Below are 22,969 nucleotides of genomic sequence, written 5' to 3' on the forward strand. Positions count from 1 at the left end.
TATTATGCAGGTCTTTCCCATTTTTATTTTCATCTTGGAGGGCGGTGGTTATAGGCACCAGCTTTGGAGTGAGACTGACCTGTTGAACCATGGCTCTGCCTCTTCCTAGCTGTTCGATCCTAGACCAGGCATTTAACCTCCCTAAGCCTCTACTTTTTCATATTTAAAATGAAAGCGGTGATACCCATCTCATGTGGTAAGAGAAAGCACTGATAGCGGTAGTCCTCTTTCTAAAGCACTGGAACATGACCCGGCTTAAGGTGAGCCCTCTCTAATCGAATGCTGTCATTCTTGTCATATTGTGCAAATGTTTTCACCATGCCTGTTAGCAACAGATAAAGTTCCCTGGCAATAATCGTCACATAAAATGTTCCACCTACTTTATCTAGGAGTCAGCTGGGGTGCAAATGAGAAGGGCAAGCAGCCACTTGTAACTTGCAGAATATCAGGCTCTACAGGAGCATTTATTCTGAAAAAAGTCAGGACTCCAGGGAAAGTCAAGCTCCATTCACAGCCGTTTCTCTCCTCATCTGTCCTCGTGCTGACTCTCTTTAGAATCTCTCTGGATGGAATTCCTTCCCAACTCCAATGGACAGAAGCAGTGAGTCCGTCCAGTCGGTAAGTCAAACAGTCCTTCGATGACTCCACTCCAGGGTGTGCTCTGTGTGATCAGAACAAGTGCTTCAGCCTAACACACCTACACATTCGAAAAGGTTTCACACAGCCTCGTTCTGCTCTTAGACGCCAACACTCCCCACACCCAATCTACCACAAAATAGAACAACAGAATCAGCCAAACGCCCTCTCCACGGAGGCGAAGGACACAGGGTCAGCCAAACCCCCTCTCCACCGAGGAGAAGGACACAGGATCAGCCAAACCCCCTCTCCACCGAGGAGAAGGACACAGGATCAGCCAAACCCCCTCTCCAGCGAGGAGAAGGACACAGGATCAGCCAAACCCCCTCTCCAGCGAGGAGAAGGACACAGGATCAGCCAAACCCCCTCTCCACAGAGACAAAGGACACAGAATCAGCCAAACTCTCTCTCCACGGAGGCGAAGGACACAGAATCAGCCAAACTCCCTCTCCACGGAGGCGAAGGACACAGAATCAGCCAAACTCCCTCTCCACAGAGACAAAGGACACAGAATCAGCCACATCCCCTCTCCGTGGAGGCGAAGGACACAGAATCAGCCAAACTCCCTCTCCGTGGAGGCGAAGGAGCTGCTGCAACTGACGGAGGGACCGTCCAATTGCTTGGAGGGTCCGTTCAGCCTGTGTGGGCCAAACCTCTCTAATCATTGACCCTGGAGGCTTATATTGCATTTTCAGGCATATTACCTTATTAGAGGAAACAGGACAGCTGCTTCCCTGAAAGAAATACGGGCAAAGCTCAATTTGTGAAGTGTGTTTCATTTCAAAGGCTGTAGCTTACAGGCAACATGGATTTTGCAGGACCAACTTGTAATGCAGTTTCAAACCCACCCAAAATCTGGAGTTTCTCTTGAAGATTTTTACCTTTCTAACATACTTAAGGAAGTGAAGAATTACTCATAATATTCTTTGCTACCTACAGTGCCGGCAGGTGCCAGCACTGTTAAAACTGCTGTAGGTGGCGGGTGCTTTGCCCCCTGTGCCCCAACACCACATGAATATTTTCCAGCTGATCACTTTTAAACTTTTAACAGACACCTAGAATTATGCCGCTGAAGAGCAAATAGATAAGTACACAACCTCTTGAGGTTTCTTACAGAAAGAAAAAATGTTTTCCTAGGACTTAGTAGTGAAAACACTTTTGCAAAAATTTTGACAATGAGAGGACTCTGACACAGAAACATTACGACGCAAAACAAATCTGACCTAATCGGGTCCATCTTGCCTCTAGCCTCCAAGCTGCCCTTGCTCATCCTCGAGTGTAAGCCACACTAACTATGGGATCGAGTCCATCTTGCCTCTAGCCTCCAAGCTGCCCTTGCTCATCCTTGAGTGTAAGCCATGCTAACTTTGGGAGGAATTTAGGTAATAGTTTAACTTTGAAACAAAGATGATAACAGCCTTCCCTGAAACAACCCCCTCCTTGCCTGGGGACCAGATGACCTTTGGAAAATTAACAAATTAGCCACAAGATTAGAAATTATGGCTCAGGAATCATGCAACCGGAGGCCACAAAATCACGGACCTCTCCAGTTGTTCCTGTGGATAACATTACTATTGTAACCCTAAGATTGGTGTTCAAGGTGTTTTCAGACGCTGAATTTTGATGGACCAGCTGGCACCACGTAGAAGGGTAAACTGGCTCATCTGGTATTGTGGCCCCCACCCAGGAACCAACTCAGCACAAGAGGGCAGCTTCAACTCCCTGTCATTTCTTCTCCAACCCAGCCAATCAGCACTCCCCATTCCCTAGCTCCCACCCCACCAAACCAGCTTTCAAAAATCCTAGCCTCTGAATTTTCAGGGAAGTTGATCTGAGTCATAAGAAAGCTCCAGTCTCCCTTTTAGCTGGCTCTACGTGTATTAGACTCTTTCCCAGTTGCAATCCCCCAGTCTTGACAAATGGGCTCTATCTTGGCAGTGGGCAAAAAGAACCCCTTGGGTGGTTACAGTGGTCTGTTTGTTTCAAAGGCACTCTCATTTCCAAACTCACTAGTAGAGAACACCCACACATGGACAGATGCACACCCTTTGTTTTCATGGCATTCCTAAGATGCTCTTTCAGAAACCATCCTTTCCCCTGGTGTTTATGCAGAGAAGGAGATGACTAGATGGTAGACATATTACACCTGCACCTTAGTGGTACCCATCCTTCCATCCTCCACATTCCCCTCCAGAGTGCTCCCTTCCTGGTCCTCTCACTAGTCCTATATTCAATACAGAAACAGGGAGAACTAAGGGTGATGGCAATTCTTGTCCTGTGAATTCTGCCCTCTAGCCCTCTGTCAATGTATCCAGCAGCAATGCTCAGAATGTCTAGGGGACTAATCTATCACCCCTTCAAGTGCACAGGTTAGGAGTTGGATAATAATACTTGTATCCCTTAAAAATTATCAATAATTTTGATTATCTTCAAAATTTAAGGTCAAGAATGCTAAGATCAGAAGGATCTCCCAGGCCCACCACTAGGCAGTGGTGCAGGGCTTTAAATAACATGATCAAGATCCTTGCTCATGAGGCACAGGCACTCCATGTATAAAATGTCTGAATTTTAGATTTTCAAGGTGTGTAAACATGTTAAACCACATACAGGTATTTTTTGGTATGGTGCAATTGAGATTGTAAAATGCCTAATATTTGCTGATTACTTCTTTATATTTAGTGTATCATGCCTTTTAGATGAATGCTGAAATTTAAAAGAATACTTTTGACCAGAGATGGGCAGTGACGCATCTTAAGTAGCATAGAATATCCCTGAATTTAGAAACAAGTAGAGGTGGCTTGTAGCAAGGTCATGTTTTAAAAACAGTGAGGAGCAACAGTCCTTAACCTCTCTGATCAGAAATACAGGTCTTATGTGAAAAGAAAAAAGGAAAACAAAAGGTAAAATCTCCAGAAAGAAGGAAGACGCCGAGAGCATCTGGGACTGCCTTGTTAACACAGCCTTGGGAACGCTGTGATGTACTTTATTGCAGGGATGGCACAGACATCGAATACATCTAACTATAATCACATAGCTACTGGCTCTTTAAGTTCATAGTGGGTAATATTAAAAAGAAAAAACACTCTTCCAAGGAGGTCATTGGCTACAAAGTAGATATTTTATATCCTCCTCAAAAATCAATTCTCCTTCAAAGCAAATTTGTCCACCCAACCCTCTGATCACGTAGTTGGCTCTCCTGGCAACCAGCCCCATTCTGAAGCTATCTAGGGACCCATCAAGGGTCCTTACTGTAAACTCAGGCACGGTTGTCAGTGGTTTATTATGAACAGCAAAAGATGGTCCTCCCACCCCGTCTCCCAGAAAATTACAAGGGCTGTGGGAACTCTGTGCAAAGAACCTGGGACAAAGGTCAAACACATATTTCTTAGGATGCCGCAGATCACACCACCGTTGAGCACTACGGCGACTCGAAGCAAGAAGCTTTCGTCTGAGCCTACTAGGAATGAACACACCTTGTCACGACATTGAGATTCAGGCACCATGTTTAGCCTACGGTGGGAAACGAGAAACTTGGGACCTAAAAGATTGGGTTTCTTTTTATCCTATCCTAACAACAGGCAATCACAGAGTCAGTATGCTGGGCACTGCAATGGCATAACATCAAACAAAACTCGCGTACTCAAGGACCCTGTTCTACTCTGTGGATCAACAGTTGTGGTAAGCAGAAGTACAACAAATTGTAACTTTTTTTTTTTTAGATGGAGTCTCGTTCTTGTTGCCCAGGCTGGAGTGCAGCGGTGCAATCTCGGCTCACTGCAACCTCTGCCTCCCCATTTCAATAGTGCTCCCACCTCAGCCTCCCGAGTAGCGTACACGTCACCACACCTGGCTAATTTTTGTATTTTTAGTAGAGACAGGGTTTCACCATGTTGGCCAGGCTGGTCTCAAACTCCTGGCCTCAAGTGATCCGCCCACCTCAGCCTCCCAAAGTGCTGAGATTACAAGCATCAGCCACCGCACCCAGCCCAAATTTTCTTGATAGATCTAATCTGTCAGTCAGAAAGAGAGTTGTTGAATACTGAACCCACCTTAAACACTAGCAGGGTGGACAACTGTGAGATTCATGTGTTCATTGCTCACATACTCTGAAGTGCCTACGCTGTGTCGCCTACTAGGTGGTGCGTTCTGAAGGGTGGCAACAAAGTCTCCCCTGCAGCCTGGCAATAGCTTGTAGATCCTATACCCAGCCCCAGCTGCAGGAAGCTGTTAAATCCTAGGCCCAGCCGCAGCTGCTGGAAGGTGTCTCACTGCATTTTTCAACATTTGGGCTGCGTCAGCCACCTCCAGCCACACACCCACCAGCACTCACATGTGCAGTCACCTGGAAATCAGAAAAGTATTCTCACTCAGTCCCTGAAACAATTTAAAACTGCGTGACTTGTCTCCAGCGTCGGCCATAATCAAACGGCTAAGTTGGCAGCGTGGTTGTACTTTGTCATGTTTTCCCTTGTCCTCCAGCCTGACCCCCTCCTACCCCACATCACTCCTCCCAAGCTGACCACCAGGGGCCCTGCCAGGTGCAACTATGCCCCCACCTTTTAATATTGTTTTTTGAGACAGGATCTCACTCTGTCGCTCGTGCTGACTTTACATTTTTTAAAACTCTTTCCCTTGCTCATTTCCCTTCTTCCCTCCACTGCATCTGAAACCTGCCCAAGGTAACAGCTAGTTAATTTCAGATGAGATTGAGGAATTCTGCTTGACTTCTTCAGGTCGTATATTTGCATTTGCTGAATGCATTCTCAGCAAACAAGCCTTATGCAGTTTGCTTTAGGTGGTGCCTGTTCCAGCACACACAAGCCATGAGAAGTTCAGAAAGCAAGTGGGGTGGAGGCGGCATGGTCAGCAGTTAGGAGCACCAGCTCCAGAAGCAGGTGATTTGGGTTAGAATCTGCCCCACAGCTTACTAGTTTAGCAATTTCCCCTCTCTGTGCTCAGTCTCTCATCTGCAATTGAGAGCCATAACACCTAACTCAGAGGATTGTTACAAATATTAGATGAACTGATACAGGTAAGAAGCTTAAAACAGTTCCTGCTAAGAACACAATCAATGTCACTTATTATGTTACTATCAGTAAGACGGACGACATAATTTGCGAGGCCCAGTACAAAATGAAAATGCAAGGCCCCTTGTTCAAACTTCGTTAAGAATTTCAAGACCAAAGCCACAAACCATTAAATCAGGTGCAGGGTCCTGCTAAGCATAGAGCACTTTTGAGCGCACGGCCACACATTCACAGCACCAATCCTGCCTCCCAGCTTTAGAACAAAAGCACCTTATTGCCCTAAGATCCAGGGAGTCTTCTGGGTGATCATTGAGAAAAAAATCCTGGAAACGCATCTTTTGTTTGCCTCTGGGAGAGTGGGGACTGGCAGGAAAACATAGGTAGCACTTTCCAAAAATACAAATAAAATTGGCCCAGTGCAGTGGCTTAGGTCTGTAATCCCATCACTTTGGGAGGCCAAGGTGGGTGGATCACCTGAGGTCAGGAGTTCAAGACCAGCCTGGCCAACATGGCGAAACCCCGTCTCTACTAAAAATACAAAAATTAGCCGGGCGTGGTGGCGGGCATCTGTAATCCCAGCTACTTGGGAGGCTGAGGCAGGAGAATGGCGTGAACCCGGGAGGCGGAGCTTGCAGTGAGCTGAGATGGCGCCACTGCACTCCAGCCTGGGCGACAGAGCGAGACTCCGTCTCAAAATAAATAAATTAATTAATTTAATTAAATGTAAAACCCCCCAACCCCCAAAACATCCCACAGTAGGTTCTGCAAGTGGCTATCTCTTGCACAGCTTTTTGATGGAAGATCAGGAACAAAAATCACTTCGCATATTTCACTAAAACTGCTCCTTCAGTGATGAAATCTTACAAGAAATCCATGTTGGTCATTCACCATAACCTCCTGCAAACAAAAGCTTTTACTACATAAAAGGAATGTTGGGACAAGAAAGTAGATTTGTAATAAGTTTGCATTGCATGTGAGATTAAAAGAAAAGATGGCTCTTTAGATTAATTTATTGCTAAAGGCATAACCTTTACTGTTTAATGTTGTGTTTCAATTGCCTGTCAAACTGTCAGAAAATAGAGCCTGAGTCCACAGCTACATAAACCAGTTTTACTTTCACCAGCAATTACAGTTTTTTAATCTTTTTTACCAGTTCATTTTCAACCTCTTTTTATTTTATCACTTGCAGTCAAATCTCAGCAATTTACTAATACAAATGTGATCAAATGCCTTCCATTTATCTTAAAGATCTAAATTCTGATGAAATAAGACTATGTGATCAATACGAATAGCATCCTGTATCCAGTCCCAGACCCTTGGTTGTAAATCATGATAGGACAGTGTCTTCCCAGAGGCTGAATCACCGGAACCAGTTCACATTGCTTAGTACCAGATCACAAAATCTTCATGAGTCATATTACTTTTTCCTTTTTTCTTCACTTCACATCTTAGTAAAAACACATTCATTTTCCAAACTCATCATTTCCAGCAGCATTCATTTCAACCATAATTTCCTGGACAATCTATTCATTCAGGTCCCTTTTTTGGAGTTTGTATTTGACTACGCTGCACTAAAGCCTGCCTTTTTTTAGAACTGTGCTCATCGGCTACATAACCCCTGAGAAAAGGTTAATATATCCCCTTAAACATTCTTAAGTGCCAAATCTCTCCTATTCCATGAGCTTAAAACCATATCAGGTAATTTCAGATCACTTGAACTATGGTTCCGTGCTGTGTCCCTCGGCTCTCTCCCATTCTCCTTGCCGTGTCTCTCGGCTCTCTCCTATTCTCCGTGCCGTGTCCCTCGGCTCTCTCCCATTCTCCGTGCCGTGTCCCTCGGCTCTCTCCCATTCTCCTTGCGTGTCTCTCGGCTCTCTCCCATTCTCCGTGCCCTGTCCCTCGGCTCTCTCCCATTCTCCGTGCCGTGTCCCTCGGCTCTCGCCCATTCTCCGTGCCGTGTCCCTCGGCTCTCTCCCATTCTCCTTGCGTGTCCCTCGGCTCTCTCCCATTCTCCGTGCCCTGTCCCTCGGCTCTCTCCCATTCTCCGTGCCGTGTCCCTCGGCTCTCTCCTATTCTCTGTGCCGTGTCCCTCGGCTCTCTCCTATTCTCCGTGCCGTGTCCCTCGGCTCTCTCCCATTCTCCGTGCCGTGTCCCTCGGCTCTCTCCTATTCTCCGTGCCCTGTCCCTCGGCTCTCTCCCATTCTCTGTGCCCTGTCCCTCGGCTCTCTCCTATTCTCCGTGCCCTGTCCCTCGGCTCTCTCCCATTCTCCGTGCCGTGTCCCTCGGCTCTCTCCCATTCTCCGTGCCGTGTCCCTCGGCTCTCTCCTATTCTCCTTGCGTGTCCCTCGGCTCTCTCCCATTCTCCGTGCCGTGTCCCTCGGCTCTCTCCTATTCTCTGTGCCGTGTCCCTCGGCTCTCTCCCATTCTCCGTGCCCTGTCCCTCGGCTCTCTCCTATTCTCTGTGCCCTGTCCCTCGGCTCTCTCCCATTCTCCGTGCCGTGTCCCTCGGCTCTCTCCCATTCTCCGTGCCCTGTCCCTCGGCTCTCTCCCATTCTCCGTGCCCTGTCCCTCGGCTCTCTCCCATTCTCTGTGCCGTGTCCCTCGGCTCTCTCCTATTCTCTGTGCCGTGTCCCTCGGCTCTCTCCCATTCTCCGTGCCCTGTCCCTCGGCTCTCTCCCATTCTCCGTGCCGTGTCCCTCGGCTCTCTCCCATTCTCCGTGCCGTGTCCCTCGGCTCTCTCCCATTCTCCGTGCCGTGTCCCTCGGCTCTCTCCCATTCTCTGTGCCGTGTCCCTCGGCTCTCTCCCATTCTCCGTGCCGTGTCCCTCGGCTCTCTCCCATTCTCCGTGCCGTGTCCCTCGGCTCTCTCCCATTCTCTGTGCCGTGTCCCTCGGCTCTCTCCTATTCTCCTTGCATGTCCCTCGGTTCTCTCCTATTTTCATATTCTCCATCCTGTGTCCCTCAGCTCTTTCATGTTTTCCATGCTGTGTCCCTCAGCTCTCTCCTATTTTGGTTGACAAGAATAGCATTAGATTAATTTTCAGCTTTCAAAAAAAAGAGACAAACTTAAAATTTTTTAATATACCTCTTATAATTCTCAAAAACTACATTTTTTAAAAAATGTGCCTCTGGAATCAAATGATTTAAAAGTCTAATTTTTACACTTTTAGTAAATAAAACTAGTAAAGAAATGTACTCTTCTGTGGTCTTTAAAACTCCTCTTAGCAAGCTATTTTTATAAATAGGCTGTCCTGACTAATGATTCTTGGGCTATAAGGTGGCGTGCCCACCTCCCTCCCATTCAGTTCTTGGGCACCTTGTCTCTGATGAGAAGATCAATAATAATTAGGAGATGATTTTTAAGTTTACTTAAGTGCACTGCAATTCCTCTGGCTTCTTTACATAACTGTGAATGATGGTGACCCTGAGACAGGACGCTGGGGTTCACTAGGAGAAGTGACACCTGCCGTATAGTCACACATGCCCGCCCTACCCCAGTTTCATGCAGTGCTATCACAATGGCTGTGAGGGGGTGTATATCCTTAATTCCAGACCACAACTACTAGCAAAGCGACTGGGGGTCCACAGTCATGCAGGGGAAAGCACAGGACTTGGAGAAGTGGTGGCCAAATGACTAACTCAAGGCTGGTGGCCCACAAATCTGTCTTCAAATCCATGACAGGGACCCTTAAGGGGAATAGAAAAGACAATTGTCAATGAGAGTTGTATGCCTATCCCCCAGCACCCTGTGGACTTGCTGAGAACAAGGGCCTTGTTTTCCTCGCCCTTTGTGGCTGACACGGTGCTGGACACAGCTGCAGCCTATAACTTAGGGTGATTCGATCAACGATCTTGTCTAGAGTGGGAGATAGCTGGGAGCAGTGGTGAAATAAGAACATGAAAACGAAGGTTTTGTTAGCAGAGAAAGGTATGGAAGACAGGCCTTAATGGGAATAACAACAGGAGATTGCTGATATCTGAGGGATTGATGGGAGTGACAAGAAAAAAGAAGTAAACAAGCGGAGTCATGGGAAAGGCACCAAGGACAGGTTTCTTAAAAAGAGCTCTGAAGCTCACCAGTAGCAACAAAATGGTGGCATATTAAAAGCTGAGACAGTTTCAACCAAGGGGGTGTTTAATCATCATATATGGGAAGTGCTAGAATAGTTTCTGGTGGGGAATCCATTTTTTAGTTCAAAATTGATGTTGACCTCTGAACATCTAGTCCCAATCAACAACCCTTGAAGCTTCAGCAGACACTATGTCAAAGGCTGCTTAGAGAAGACATCCAGGAGACACTATGTCAGAGGCTGTTCAGAGGAGACACCCAGCAGACACTATGTCAGAGGCTGTTCAGAGGAGACACCCAGCAGACACTATGTCAGAGGCTGCTCAGAGAAGACACCCAGCAGACACTACGTCAGAGGCTGCTCAGAGGAGACACCCAGCAGACACTACGTCAGAGCCTGTTCAGAGGAGACACCCAGCAGACACTATGTCAGAGGCTGCTCAGAGAAGACACCCAGCAGACACTATGTCAGAGGCTGCTCAGAGGAGACACCCAGCAGACACTATGTCAGAGGCTGCTCAGAGAAGGGACCCAGCAGACACTATGTCAGAGGCTGCTCAGAGAAGGGACCCAGCAGACACTATGTCAGAGGCTGCTCAGAGAAGACACCCAGCAGACACTACGTCAGAGGCTGTTCAGAGGAGACACCCAGCAGACCCTATGTCAGAGGCTGCTCAGAGAAGAGACCTAGCAGACACTATGTCAGAGGCTGCTCAGAGAAGAGACCCAGAAGACACTATGTCAGAGGCTGCTCAGAGAAGGGACCCAGCAGACGCTATGTCAGAAGCTGCTCAGAGAAGAGACCCAGAAGACACTATGTCAGAGGTTGCTTAGAGAAGGGACCCAGCAGACGCTATGTCAGAGGCTGTTCAGAGGAGACACCCAGCAGACACCATGTCAGAGGCTGTTTAGAGAAGACACCCAGCAGACACTATGTCAGAGGCTGTTCAGAGGAGACACCCAGCAGACACCATGTCAGAGGCTGTTTAGAGAAGACACCCAGCAGACACTATGTCAGAGGCTGCTTAGGCAAGAGACCCAGCAGACACTATTTCAGAGGATGTGTAGGGAAGACACGCAGCCAGAAGGGTTTGGTTATTGACAAGATAAAATGACCAACCTGTGTTTTTAGGATGCATTGTATGAAATCACCTTCCTTAGAAATATTTGATAAAATATGCCATCTTTTATGCTGAGCAAAAGATATCAGACACAAATGAATACATATTGTGTGATTCCACTTATATGAAGTTTGAAAACCAGCAAAACCAATCTATAGGGACACAGAGCAATTGGTGGTTTTCTGGGGCTGAAAAATTACTGGTGAAGACTGACTGACAAGGGGCAAGAGGGAACTTCTAGAGTTACAGAAATGTTCTACACCTTGGGTACACCAACACATACATTTGTCAAAACACACTGTACTTGATCTTTAAAATGTAGGCCTTTTGTTGTATATAAATTATATACCTCTTAAGTTGATTTTAAAAAAAACTGTCTTTACTTAAATTTAGACTTTGAAACCCTTCAGAAAGTCCTAAAAATTCTGTACAATTAGTATTGAACACTAGGATACACATGGGCAACCAATCCTAGACAGCTCAGCACAGGACAAACAGAAAGGTCATCCTGCAACATGCAATCTAGATGACGAAGAAAGATAACTCAAATGAGACACCTCAGAGACCTCTGTTCTCCAGTTCTGGCTCTGATTTTCATGAATTACAAAGTAAGGAAGATTCAGAGTTAATAGCATAGCCACAATGTAAAATATATTTAGTTTGTTGAATATTAACATTTTACCATAACTATAATGTACATTTAGTTTGTTGATCATTAATGTTTGTTTCCTGTATGAAAAAAATGTATGCATATATAATTCTCGTTCTACATCTAGGTTCATTCATTCTATCTACTAATCCTTTTATGGCCTTTTAAAAGCTGGTTAAGGAATTTATAAGATGACTGTCTAGACCAGAGGAACTCAACTGACAATGGAAGTGATGATTCTGGCAGCTAAGCTGGGTAGATCTTACTCTTTACAGACTGGTGTTTCAAAAGGTCTTGCTCCTGTCGAGGGGTGAGTTACTTCACCTCTAGTACAAGCCCAAGGTATCCTAAACCAAACAGCACTAACAGGGCCCACCCGTCTCTGGGCAGCAAAATATTTTTGTTTGTTGGTGTTGCTATTTTTGTTTATAAATGTGTCGATTTTGTCTAATCTGTAGACCATTCTTTACTGAACATGAGGAACAAGGCATCTTTCAGATGTAGCAGAGTTCAGTGCAAAAGCACTGAGCTGACTAATAATTTGGAGACTTGGGTTCCAATACTGGTTCATCATTAACCAGAGGCATTGCTTCAGGCAAGTCAAGGGACCTCTTTAGATCTAATCTATAAACTAGGGGAAAAAGAATAAATGAAATATAAGAAAAGATTCCTTTAGCTATAAAAGTTTATGATTCTATATGTCAAAACCACCAGAAAATCTTAGACCTCACCTGGAACTTTAAAGACCAGAGTTCCCTACGAAGGGATTCAGGACCCTTCAGGACACATATAAACTCACAACAATGGACCTCATATGCCTGGAGGCTTAATTGACCTAGGTTGTTGCAAACGACCAAGCTTCTTTCTCTTATAAGGCTGAATAGAATTTCATTGTATGTGTATAGACCATGTTTTATTTATCCAATCATCTGATGGTCACTTAAGTTGATACCGTAACTTGGCTATTGTGAACAGAGCTGCAATGAACACGGGAGTGCAGACATCTCTCTGGCATAGATATGGGTTTTGTGTCAATACACACAAGCGGGATTGCCAGGTCATATGGTAATTCTATTTTTAGTTTTTTGAGGAACCTCCATACAGTTTTCCATAAAAGTTGTACTAATTTACATTCCCAAGAACAGAGTACAAAAGTTCTCTTTTCTCCACATTCTCACCAAAACTTTTTAATCCCTTCTCTCTTTTTTTTTAAATAGCCATGTTGAGAGGTGTGAGGTGCTGTCTCATTGTGGTTTTAACTTGCATTTCCCTAATGATTAGTGATATTGAGTTTTTTCTTTTTACATATATTTGTAGGTAATTTGTATATCTTCTCCTGAAAAATGTTTATTCAGGTCCTATGCCCATTTTTTAAATTAGTCTTATTTGTTTTCTAGAGTTGTTTGAGTTCCGCATGCATTTTGGATATTAGCTTCTTATCAGATATGTGGCTTGCAAATATTTTCTCCTAATTTGTAGGTTGTTTCTGTTGTTTCCTTTGTTATACAGAAGCTTTCATATTTCATGAAATCCCATTCATCTCTTTTTGCTTTTGTTGCCTGTGGTTGTAGAGTAAAATTGAAAATGTAATTGCCCAAACCAATTTCATGTAGTTTTCTCCCTATGTTTTTTTCTAGTAGTTTTACAGTTTCAGATTTTATGCTTAAGTCTTCGACCCATTTTGAGTTAATTTTTTCACATGATATGAGAAAAGGTTTCAATTTAATTCTTCTATATATAGATATCCAATTTTCTCAAAAACATTTATTAAAGATATCCATTTTATATTGTGTATTCTTGGCACACTTACGATCTTTTGTAATTTAGTTTTATAATTGATCCTTTGCAGAACCTGGAGAGGTGCTTGTGGTTTTGACTTGGCTGATTGCCTATTTAGAGTACAATTCAGTATGTTCTTCCAAACTCTGCTTCTGCTGCAAATTGTTAACTGAATCCAGAGGTTTATTTGACAAGACTATACCTGCTAGCATGTTCTCCCATCAGGAATCACATACTATCTAGTTGACTCTATCTCTTTTATGTTGGCAGTCTTTAATGCTCAATGCCTAGATCAGGGGTCAGTAAACTCCAGCCACTGGCCAAATTCTGACAATCAACTGTTTTATTTGTCCTATGAATGCAGCCAGACTCATTTATTTAATAATTATCTATGGATGCCTTATTGAAAATCAATTGTTCATACATGTGTTGGTTCCTTTCTTGGCTCTCTATCCTAATCCATTCATTGATGTGTCTGTTTTTCTTTTTTTGTTTGTTTTTTGATGTGTTTATTTTTATGGCAGCACTAAGCTGATGTAGTAGTATAGTTTGAAATGAGTAGTGTGATGCTTACAGCTTTGTTCTTTTTGCCCACGATTGCCTTGGCTATTCAAGGTTTTTTGCAATTCCATGTGAATTTTAGTTGTCTTTTTATTTCTGTGAAAATGGCATTGAAGTTTTGAAAGAGATTATATTGAATTTGCATATTGCTTTTGGTAGTATGTACATTTTAGCAATATTAATTCTTCCAATTCACAAGCATGGGATATCTTTTTCCATCTCTTCACTTTTAGTCTATATGTGATATATATATATATTTATTATACTTTAAGTTCTAGAGCACATGCGCACAACGTGCAGGTTTGTTACGCATGCCTATATGTGTTTTTAAAAGTAAGATGAGTATCTTGTAGGTAGCATATAACTGGGTCTTGTTTTTAATCCATTCAGCCACTCTGTCTTTTTATTGGAGCATTTACATTCAAGGTAATTATGAATGTTAAGGACTTACTACCTCCATTTTGTGAATTGGTTTCTGATTGTTTTGTAGATACTTTGTTTCCATCTTCCTTTCTTTCTGTCTTCTTTTGTGGCTTGATGATTTTCTTTAGTGGTATACTTTGAATTCTTTCTATTTTTGTTTTGTGTGTCTACTGTAGATTTTTGCTTTGTGATTAGTATGAAGCTTACATAAAACATTTTACAAGTGTAACAGTCTATTTTGACAGTTCATATAATTGTTATGCTATAACAGTTGTAGGTAGTCAAAGTCACACAACTCTCCACTGTTATCTCCCTGATATTTTACGTTTTTGATGTACGAATTTACATTTTATAATATCTATCCCTTGAAAATGTATTTAGCTAAGTTTTATTAATAATTTTGTCTTTTAACCCCCATACTAGGAATAAAATTGCCTTACACATCATCATTACAGTCCTAGAGCATTCCACATATGATTCTTTATTATGCCATTGAGTTTTGTGCATTTGTACATTTTCTGTTAATAATTATTGGCCTTTTATTTCAGCTTAAGAAACTCCCTTTAGCAATTCCTGTAAGGCAGGCCCAGTGATGATGACCTCCTTTGGCTTTGGTTTGTCTGGGAAAATTTTTATTTCTTCCTCATTTCACAAAGACGGATTTTCTGAGTAAAATATTCTTGGTTGGCTATTTTTATTTTCCTTCAACATTTTGAATCTATCATCCCATTATCTCCTGGCCTTCAGGGTTTCCATTGAAAAATCTGGTGAGAGTCTATTGAGACTATTCTAGGTGCTGTGTGGCTTTTTATCTCTTGCCACTCTCAGAATTTTTTCTTTGTCTTTTATTTGTGATAGTTTATTATGTGTCTTGGTAAACTCCTCTCTGGGTTGAATTTGACTGGAGACCTCTGTGCTTCCTATACCTTGATATTGGTATATATCCTCATATTAGGAAAATTCTCAGCCATTATTTTTTAAATATGCTTTCTTACCCTTTTTTGTCTTTCTTCTCTTTCTGGAATTTATATTATGTGTATATTCAGTCTCTTGAGGGTGGCACATATTTCTGCAGGCTTTCTTCATTCTTAAATTTATTTTTTTTAATTTTTGCTACTCTGATTGGATAATATCAAATGTTCTATCTTCCAGTTCACTGATTCTTCTTTTAGCTTGATCAAACCTGCTGTGGGAGCTTTCAGTTGCATCTTTTCAGTTCAGTCATTGTATTCTTCAACTCTTGAATTTCTGTTGGTTTTTAAGAATTATTTCTATTTCATCGAAGTTCTCATTTTGTTCATGTATTGTTTTCCAAATTTCATTTAATTTTCTATCCCTATATTATTGTAGTTCATGATCTTCTTTAAGAGGATTTTTCTAAACTCATTGTCTGTCATTTTATAAATTGTCCTTTCCTTGGGGTTCATTGTTAAATCTATTTTAGTTGATTTTTCTTTTTAGGGGTGTCATGATTTCCTGAGTCTTTGTTACCCTTGTAAGGACGTTATCCTTCTATCCTTACATTAGTGTCTGCATATTTGAGGTGATAGCCACCTTTTCCAGTTTTTGCAGGTATTCTTTGGCAGGAATAATTGTCACAGTGTAGTGTAGCCTGTGGTTCTGAACACATCAGCTCATAACAACCCTGAATATGTAGAGCTTATTTGGGGGTTCTTTCATTGATGGTGTGCTGCCTTTTCTGTGAGTTTGAATGGGGCAGCTGGCTGGGATCTGCTACCCAAGCAAGAGCTCAGCAAGACCACTAAGCTGAACTCTCCAGTGAGGATGGACTGCTGGATGGGCACTGCAATTTGCCTCTGATTAGACTGGGCCATGAAGTGTAGTATTCTCTGGCCAGTTGGTACCTCAATTTAAAGTCAGCAGTTAAACAGGGTTGCAGAAAGCACTCTGAGGTTAGGTGGAGTCACTGACTAGGATGGATGGGACCAGCTACTATGCTCGGTAAAAATGCACAGTTGAGGTTTGCCTACCTGCTTAAGTGAGGTCTTGGGGTGGGCTTTGAGACTAGGCTGAGCATTATTTAAACTCCTGGGTGTGCTAGGTCAAGTCCTAGCTCTTTGCTGAAATTTGCTGCGGTGGTTGTCCCCTTCCTTGGGTGGGATATGTGTGTGGGCTTTGAGGCCATGCAAAGTACTATTTAAACACTCCTCGGTGTGGCCAGGCATGGTGGCTCACCCCTATAATCCCAGTACTTTGGAAAGCTGGGACAACAAGATTGCTTGAGCCCAGGAGTTAAAGACCAGGCTGGGCAACATAGTGGGACCCCGTGTTTACAAAAAGTTTAAAAATTAGCTAGGTGTGGTGGCATGCACCTGTAGTCCAAGCTGCTTGGGAGGCTGAGGCTGGAGGATCACTTGAGCCCAGGAAGTCGAAGCTACAGTGAGCTGTGATCACGCCACTGCACTCCAGCTGAGGTGACAGAGTGAGACCCTATCTCAAATGAAAGTGATAATAGTAATAAACTCCTGAGTGTGACAACACTAGCCCTGGATCTTTGCCAAAATTTGCTGTAGTGGTTATCTCCCTCCCTGGACATGTTCTCAGGGTAGGGTCTGAGGCTGGTCATCTAAGGATTCAAGCCAGGTAGAACTTCCCACCGCTTCTGAGGGTGACCAGCTCAGATTTGCAGGTGGGTATGGTGTTAGCTGGTACTATTGATTGGGTGCTACTGCTGGCAGGTGTGCAGAGCTACAGCCAGGATCTGTCTGCTTGTCACTGTGGACTCTGCCTCCTCGCTTTGCTTCTATCTCACCCAAGGTGGTCTAGCCATGCCATTTCCCCTCTGTTCCTCCTGAGGTGAGACCAGAGTGGGCTTCCTGGGAAGCATCTCAGAATGCTAGGGAAGCTTCATGTCTGCCTCTGATTCTCCTTTTGCTCTGTAGGAACTGTAGTTTCTGGGGAATTCCATCTGCGAGGTGCTGTGCTGACTTAGGGGAGGAGGAGGAGAGACATGGTCAACATGGGATTGTTTTTCTTACCCTTTAATGTAGTGTTTATTCCTTTCTGGACCACACAGCTGACTCTGGCTTATTCCCACATGTTAGGGTTTTCACCAAGGTATTCTTGTCTGCAGGTGTTTGCTAGCTGAACTTTCTGTGTGTGGCAGGCGGCAGGAGATGGTAGTGAAGCCAGGGTCCTCTTATTCTGCCATCTTGCTGACATCACTCCAAATCACAATTATCAATTTTGCTGAATGCAAGTTACAACTGTAAAAACATTTCCAGAATTTTGAGAGCACATAACATTATTAGACCATCTAACGGATTTAAGGACCATCCACAGTATTCCATAAGCAATAGATCAAAATGTCATTTTAGCAAAGTGGCATTTCCACGTGGGGTCGCCTATGTGTTTTCTTACTTTCTTCAACACTGTTGCAAAGTTTACCTACTAAATGAGGTTAGCTAGAATGAGTTCTTTTTTTAATGGAGTGGCAAACATAGTAGCTGTTTCTTCCATTATATTCTCTCATAACTCTTTGGGCCCTGGGGCCACAATTATTTGTGACATGTTTGGATTTATAGAATTGTACTCTTCATAATTTAACTGTCTCAGGGCACAAGCACAGAGAACGCAGTCAGGAAATAAACATAGTCTAAAAGATGAATTTGTGATCTGCTCTGAGGGTCAGTAAGCTAGCCCTCTGCCAAACCAAGGCAGGTAGAGAATTCCGTGATGAGGCCTGAAGAACCACATACTAGAAGAAATTTTGTACATTGTTACCTCGAAGATCCCAAATGACCCTAAATATTGCCTGTAATTCAGCACGAAATGACAAGTTTATGCTAATTTTTTAAAGAAAGCACATGCTTTAGAATACGTTTAGTGAATGTTTCTGCTCTCTTGGTATAAACAGAGTACTGAGTTTGAACACTGAACCAACCTAGTCATTAAGCATTTCAGCAGTACCTGCTATAAGTAACCGGTGAAATAACACTGACTGTACTAACATATGACATTTCAAGTGTATTTCAAGGTGTGGCTCTGCTTGAATGACGGGTGATTGCTCTTTTAACACTGTGGCATTTATTACTAACCTGTCAGAAAGCTGCTTAAATAAGAATGATTGGAGCAGCATGTCTAACACTCTGGCCTTAATATAAAAACAACTTGAAAATAGGCATTTCTCTTTTTGTATCCATCCTTCTAATTACAAGCCTAAAAAGGTGTTTTCCTTTCTTCAAAAATATTTATGGCATACCCACCTCTGTGCTGGTAGTTGGGAAACAGAGAAGAGTGAAACAGGCACCTCACTACCTAATGGGGTTATAGTCTGGCAGAGAAGACAGACATTTCAAAATCATCTTACAAACAAGTCATAATCTGTGATAAATGCTATGAAGGCAAAGAAAGTGCAGAAACAAAAATAAGGGGCGTAGTTTAGAGACGGATGGGGGAAACTGTTATGAAAGAGATCTTCGAGGAAGTGAGATCTGATAAGCAGTAGTTATTCAAGCAAAACTCAGGTGAGTCTCTTAGGCAGAGGGATCAGCATGTACAATACTCCTGGGTCAGACAAGAGCTTGTTCAAGAAACTGTAAAAAGGCCAGTGAAAGCAATGACAGCAACCTGAAGCTCGAAAGTAGAGTGGAAAGATGAAACAGACACCACCAGCAACGCTAATGATCTTTTACTTTATACTAATTATAAGGGGAAGTGTATTTGCTCTGCAACATCAATCAGCTCGCTTCCAGGCCTCCCTGTGAGAGCACTTGCGTTTCCGTTCCCTCTGGTCTGCTGTACCAGTTTTCTTCACTAGCTCATTCATTTACCAGTGGGCAACCATAGCAAAACTATCACAAACTGGGTGACTTAAACAACAGGAATTTATTCTGTCTCAGTTCTGGAGGTCAGAAGTCTGGAAGCAAGATGACAGCATGGTCGATTCCTACTTGGGGACTCAGAGAGAGGAGCCGTCTCACGCTTTCCTCCCAGCTTCTGGTGGTTGCCGCCAGTCCCTGGCATCCCCTGGCTTGTGGCGTTGTCAATCCAGCCTCTGCCTTCACGGTCGCATGGCTTCTCCTGGAGTGCCTCTGTCTCTGTGTACACGTTTCCCTCATAGAATACCACTGTGGGCTAGGGCTCACCCTAAGTCAGTATGAGCTCATGTTACCTTGATGATATCTGCAAAAATCCTATTTCCAAACAACGCCATAGTCAAGGTACCAGGGGTTAGGATTTAAACAAGTCTTTTTGAGGGATACAATTTAACCAATAACAGAAGGCTATTGAAGGATTTTTACCAAGGGAGTGATATCGAGGCAGGAAAACAGGGTCTGGAACTTAAGGCCAATTTGTGCTGAATCGAGGAAAAACACCAGGGTCTGGGGGCCAATTGGTGCTGACTTCTCAAAGCTGGATCAAAAGGAGGACACCTGGGTCTGGGGGTAGGGAACCTAAGGCCAATTAACACGAACTTCCTAAAACTAAACCAGAAGGGGAAATCCCATCTCCCCACGCCGAGCAGCAAAGGATCAAATCTCCCTACAGCCCTCCCGCTTCCAGCACATCTCAGATGGAAAGAGAGAGTGCCCTGATTGGCCAAGCATGGGCCACCCCTTCCTCTGCATAGGGCACCAATTCACCTCAGCCTTTAATTAGCCAGGAACCAAATCCTTCATCCAGACAAGAGGTAACTTATAGGAGCCTCAAAAGGGGTACTTAAAACCCGGAAAACTGGCTCCTTCCCCCGCCCTGTGGAGTGCTGTCTTGCTTCAGTGACTCCAGCTTTCACACCTTGTGGAGGGCTGTCTTGCTTCAGTGAATTCAGCTTTCGCTGCTTTGTTCTTGTGTCTCGTTCCTTTGTTGCTTTGTGGGTTTTGTCCAATTCTTTGTTCAAAACACCAAAGAACCTGGACAACTGACACTCAAGGCCCTCCTTCCAGTAACAATATGATCCTATTTTCACTTAACATCACTTTAGCTACTTGACAGAAAACGGATCGGAAAGAGTCAAAGAAGAAGGGTGAGATGGATTGAGAGGCTATTTTGGATTCCATTTTGGTAGACGTGTTCTGAAAAATTTTCGTCATATTTATAAATATTATATAAATAAATATTTCTAAATATTTAAAACATTTAGCAAGGCAAGAAATAATAATAATATAATTAACTTTAAAGGGCATAAAAATATTCACAGGCCAAAAAATAAAAAGAAGACTTAAACCCCGAACGGTGAGCTATCACTGCGGCTGTGGAGTGATCAGGCAGCAGCCTCTGGGCCTGAAGGCTTGCATTTTGCATGATACACAGGACAGGAGGAGAGGCATGATCTCAGCCCAAAGAGGAAGTTACAAATAAGGTCTCCAAATAAAGCCAGCGCCCACAACATTGATGTAAATGTTTATATACTTTCTATAGATTATATAGAAAGACATAAAAATATATCTCTCTATATATATCCATCCACTGGTTTAAAAAGATGACAAAAGGTGACCAAAAAATGTCATCCTTAGTTTGGACTCAAAGTGACAAAAATAGATGTTTTTCATGACAACATCTGTACAGTTGACACGCTCTGGAGTTGGGTTTAAAATCATACCACGCAGTAACTCCAGGAAAGTTCAAACCGAGAAACTATTTTACACAACCTTGAGTCAGGAATGCCCAAGAAACAAAAACACAAATTCTCTGCGGAAGGTGCACCCTCAACATAAACCTTGACAGATTCTTGCACGTAAAGTCCAAACACTTAAATGTGAGCTTAATCCAAAATATGTTTTTGAAAAAGCAAAATACAAGAGTTAACGGAAACAACCAACAGCAGAAAAAACCACCAAAGACTTTCAAGTATAAAAATATTGGATACAAATTATAAAATAAGTATTTTTAAATTATCCAAAAAAGAAATTGAAATTATGAACTAGAAACAAAATGCTATACCAAAGAAAACAGGCTATTTGAAAAAAGAACCAAAAAGAACCTCTCAAACAGAAAATGTAATCACTCAAATTAAAAATTCAGTAGGTAAGATAAACAAAAGATTAATGTAGCTAAGAAAATGACTTATACAGAAACTACTAGAATGAAGCTCAGAGACATAATGGAGATAATGAAATGCAAAATATGAAAGAAGGTGAAGATACAAAAAGATCAGCCCTCAAAGACACAACAGGTTCTGAAGAGTGGCCAGAAGGCGAGGATTGGCCAAGCGTGGTGGCTCGCACCTGTAATTCCAGCAGTTTGGGAGGCCAAGGCAAGTGGATTGCTTGAGCCCAGCAGTTCAAGACCAGCCCAGGCAACATAGCAAAACCCCATCTCTATAAAATTAAAAATTAAAAATGAAAAAAATAGGAGGTGAAGATAGGGAAATAAGAGAAACCAAACATTTCTAAGCAGATTAGATGAAAAGAAACCCACATCTGGGCACAAACTTCAACTTCGGGCCACCAAAATTAAAAAAAAAAAAGACCTTAAAAATAGCCAGAGTAAAAAGTTTACCTTCAGTGAAATAACCGTTATATGAAAAACAATTTTTTCCAACAGTATCAGTGGATCCAGAACAAAGCACTAGCCTAAAATTCTGACAGAAGATAGCATCCATCTCAAGATGTTTGCTCAGCAAACTATTGTGTCATAATTAGGACAAAATAAACACATTTTAGGCAAACAGAATCTATGTTTAATATAATCAGACTCTTGCTAAAAGAATTGCTAAAGGAAGGCCGGGCGCGGTGGCTCACGCCTGTAATCCCAGCACTTTGGGAGGCCGAGGTGGGTGGATCACGAGGTCAGGAGATCGAGACCATCTTGGCTAACACGGTGAAACCCCGTCTCTACCAAAAATACAAAAATTTAGCCGGGCGCGGTGGCGGGCGCCTGTGGTCCCAGCTACTCGGGAGGCTGAGGCAGGAGAATGGCGGGAACCCGGGAGGCGGAGCTTGCAGTGAGCCGAGATCGCGCCCCTGCACTCCAGCCTGGGCGACAGAGCGAGACTCCGTCTCAAAAAAAAAAAAAAAAAAAAAAAAAAAAAAAAAAAAGAATTGCTAATGGAAATACTTCAGATAGAGTAAAATGATTCCATAAAAAGGGTCTGGGATGAAAAAAGGAACAATAAACCAAGAAACTGGTATAAATGAAATAATAAAAACACTGTAAATATGTGGAGGCAGAATCTAAATAACACACAAAAATACAATGTAAAGCAGGTGGCAATTGATGAGAATTAAGATACAGCATTGCTAGGAAGGAGAACAGATTCATTTTGGATTTTATTAAGATTAAGAGCAGCCACAGAATGATTTAAAAAAGGGTTTATGGCTTCCAAACCAGTAGAGAGGGTAAAAATAATTTTAAAATCAAAATTCAGTCAAAAAGGAGAGAAAGAAAGAGAGAAACAGAGAAAGAAAGAAGGAAGGAAGGCAGGCAGGAAGGGAGAGAAAGAGGGAGAAAGAGGGAAGGAGGGAGAGAGGGAGGAGAGAAAGAAAGAAAGGGAAAAAGAAAGAAAAAAGGAAAGAAAAGGACAACATAGTAACAGGAGGAAAATGTAAAGCACAAAACTAGATGATGACAATAAATCCAACTCTAAAAGAAATCATACAAAATATGTGGATCAAAATCATCAATTTAAAAACAAAATTTTAGACATAGTCTTTAATTCAGTAGTAAATTATATATAAGTGACATATTTGAAACACACAAGCTCCCTCTCTCTTCCAAACAAACTAGATTAGATGATAAGAGGC

At 42.8% G+C, this 22,969-nt stretch overlaps 1 long non-coding RNA gene across 1 annotated transcript in view, besides 2 other annotated features; it reads right to left on the reverse strand.

Moving 5' to 3' along the window:
- The window catches only part of FRG1-DT (FRG1 divergent transcript), a 176,343-nt gene that overhangs the window by 74,232 nt on the left and 79,142 nt on the right, over positions 1-22,969 (reverse strand). The window lies entirely within an intron of this gene.
- Positions 7,416-8,129: an enhancer, noted in NCBI's record as "H3K27ac-H3K4me1 hESC enhancer chr4:190767193-190767906 (GRCh37/hg19 assembly coordinates)". NCBI's record gives its function as "activates a minimal SCP1, AML or CMV promoter by ChIP-STARR-seq in naive H9 embryonic stem cells {active_cell/tissue: H9 hESC(naive)}" and the evidence as "EXISTENCE:reporter gene assay evidence [ECO:0000049][PMID:30033119]".
- Positions 8,130-8,843: an enhancer, noted in NCBI's record as "H3K27ac-H3K4me1 hESC enhancer chr4:190767907-190768620 (GRCh37/hg19 assembly coordinates)". NCBI's record gives its function as "activates a minimal SCP1, AML or CMV promoter by ChIP-STARR-seq in naive H9 embryonic stem cells {active_cell/tissue: H9 hESC(naive)}" and the evidence as "EXISTENCE:reporter gene assay evidence [ECO:0000049][PMID:30033119]".

This window comes from Homo sapiens, chromosome 4 (genome assembly GCF_000001405.40).
Source record: "Homo sapiens chromosome 4, GRCh38.p14 Primary Assembly".
Classification (NCBI taxonomy): domain Eukaryota; kingdom Metazoa; phylum Chordata; class Mammalia; order Primates; family Hominidae; genus Homo; species Homo sapiens.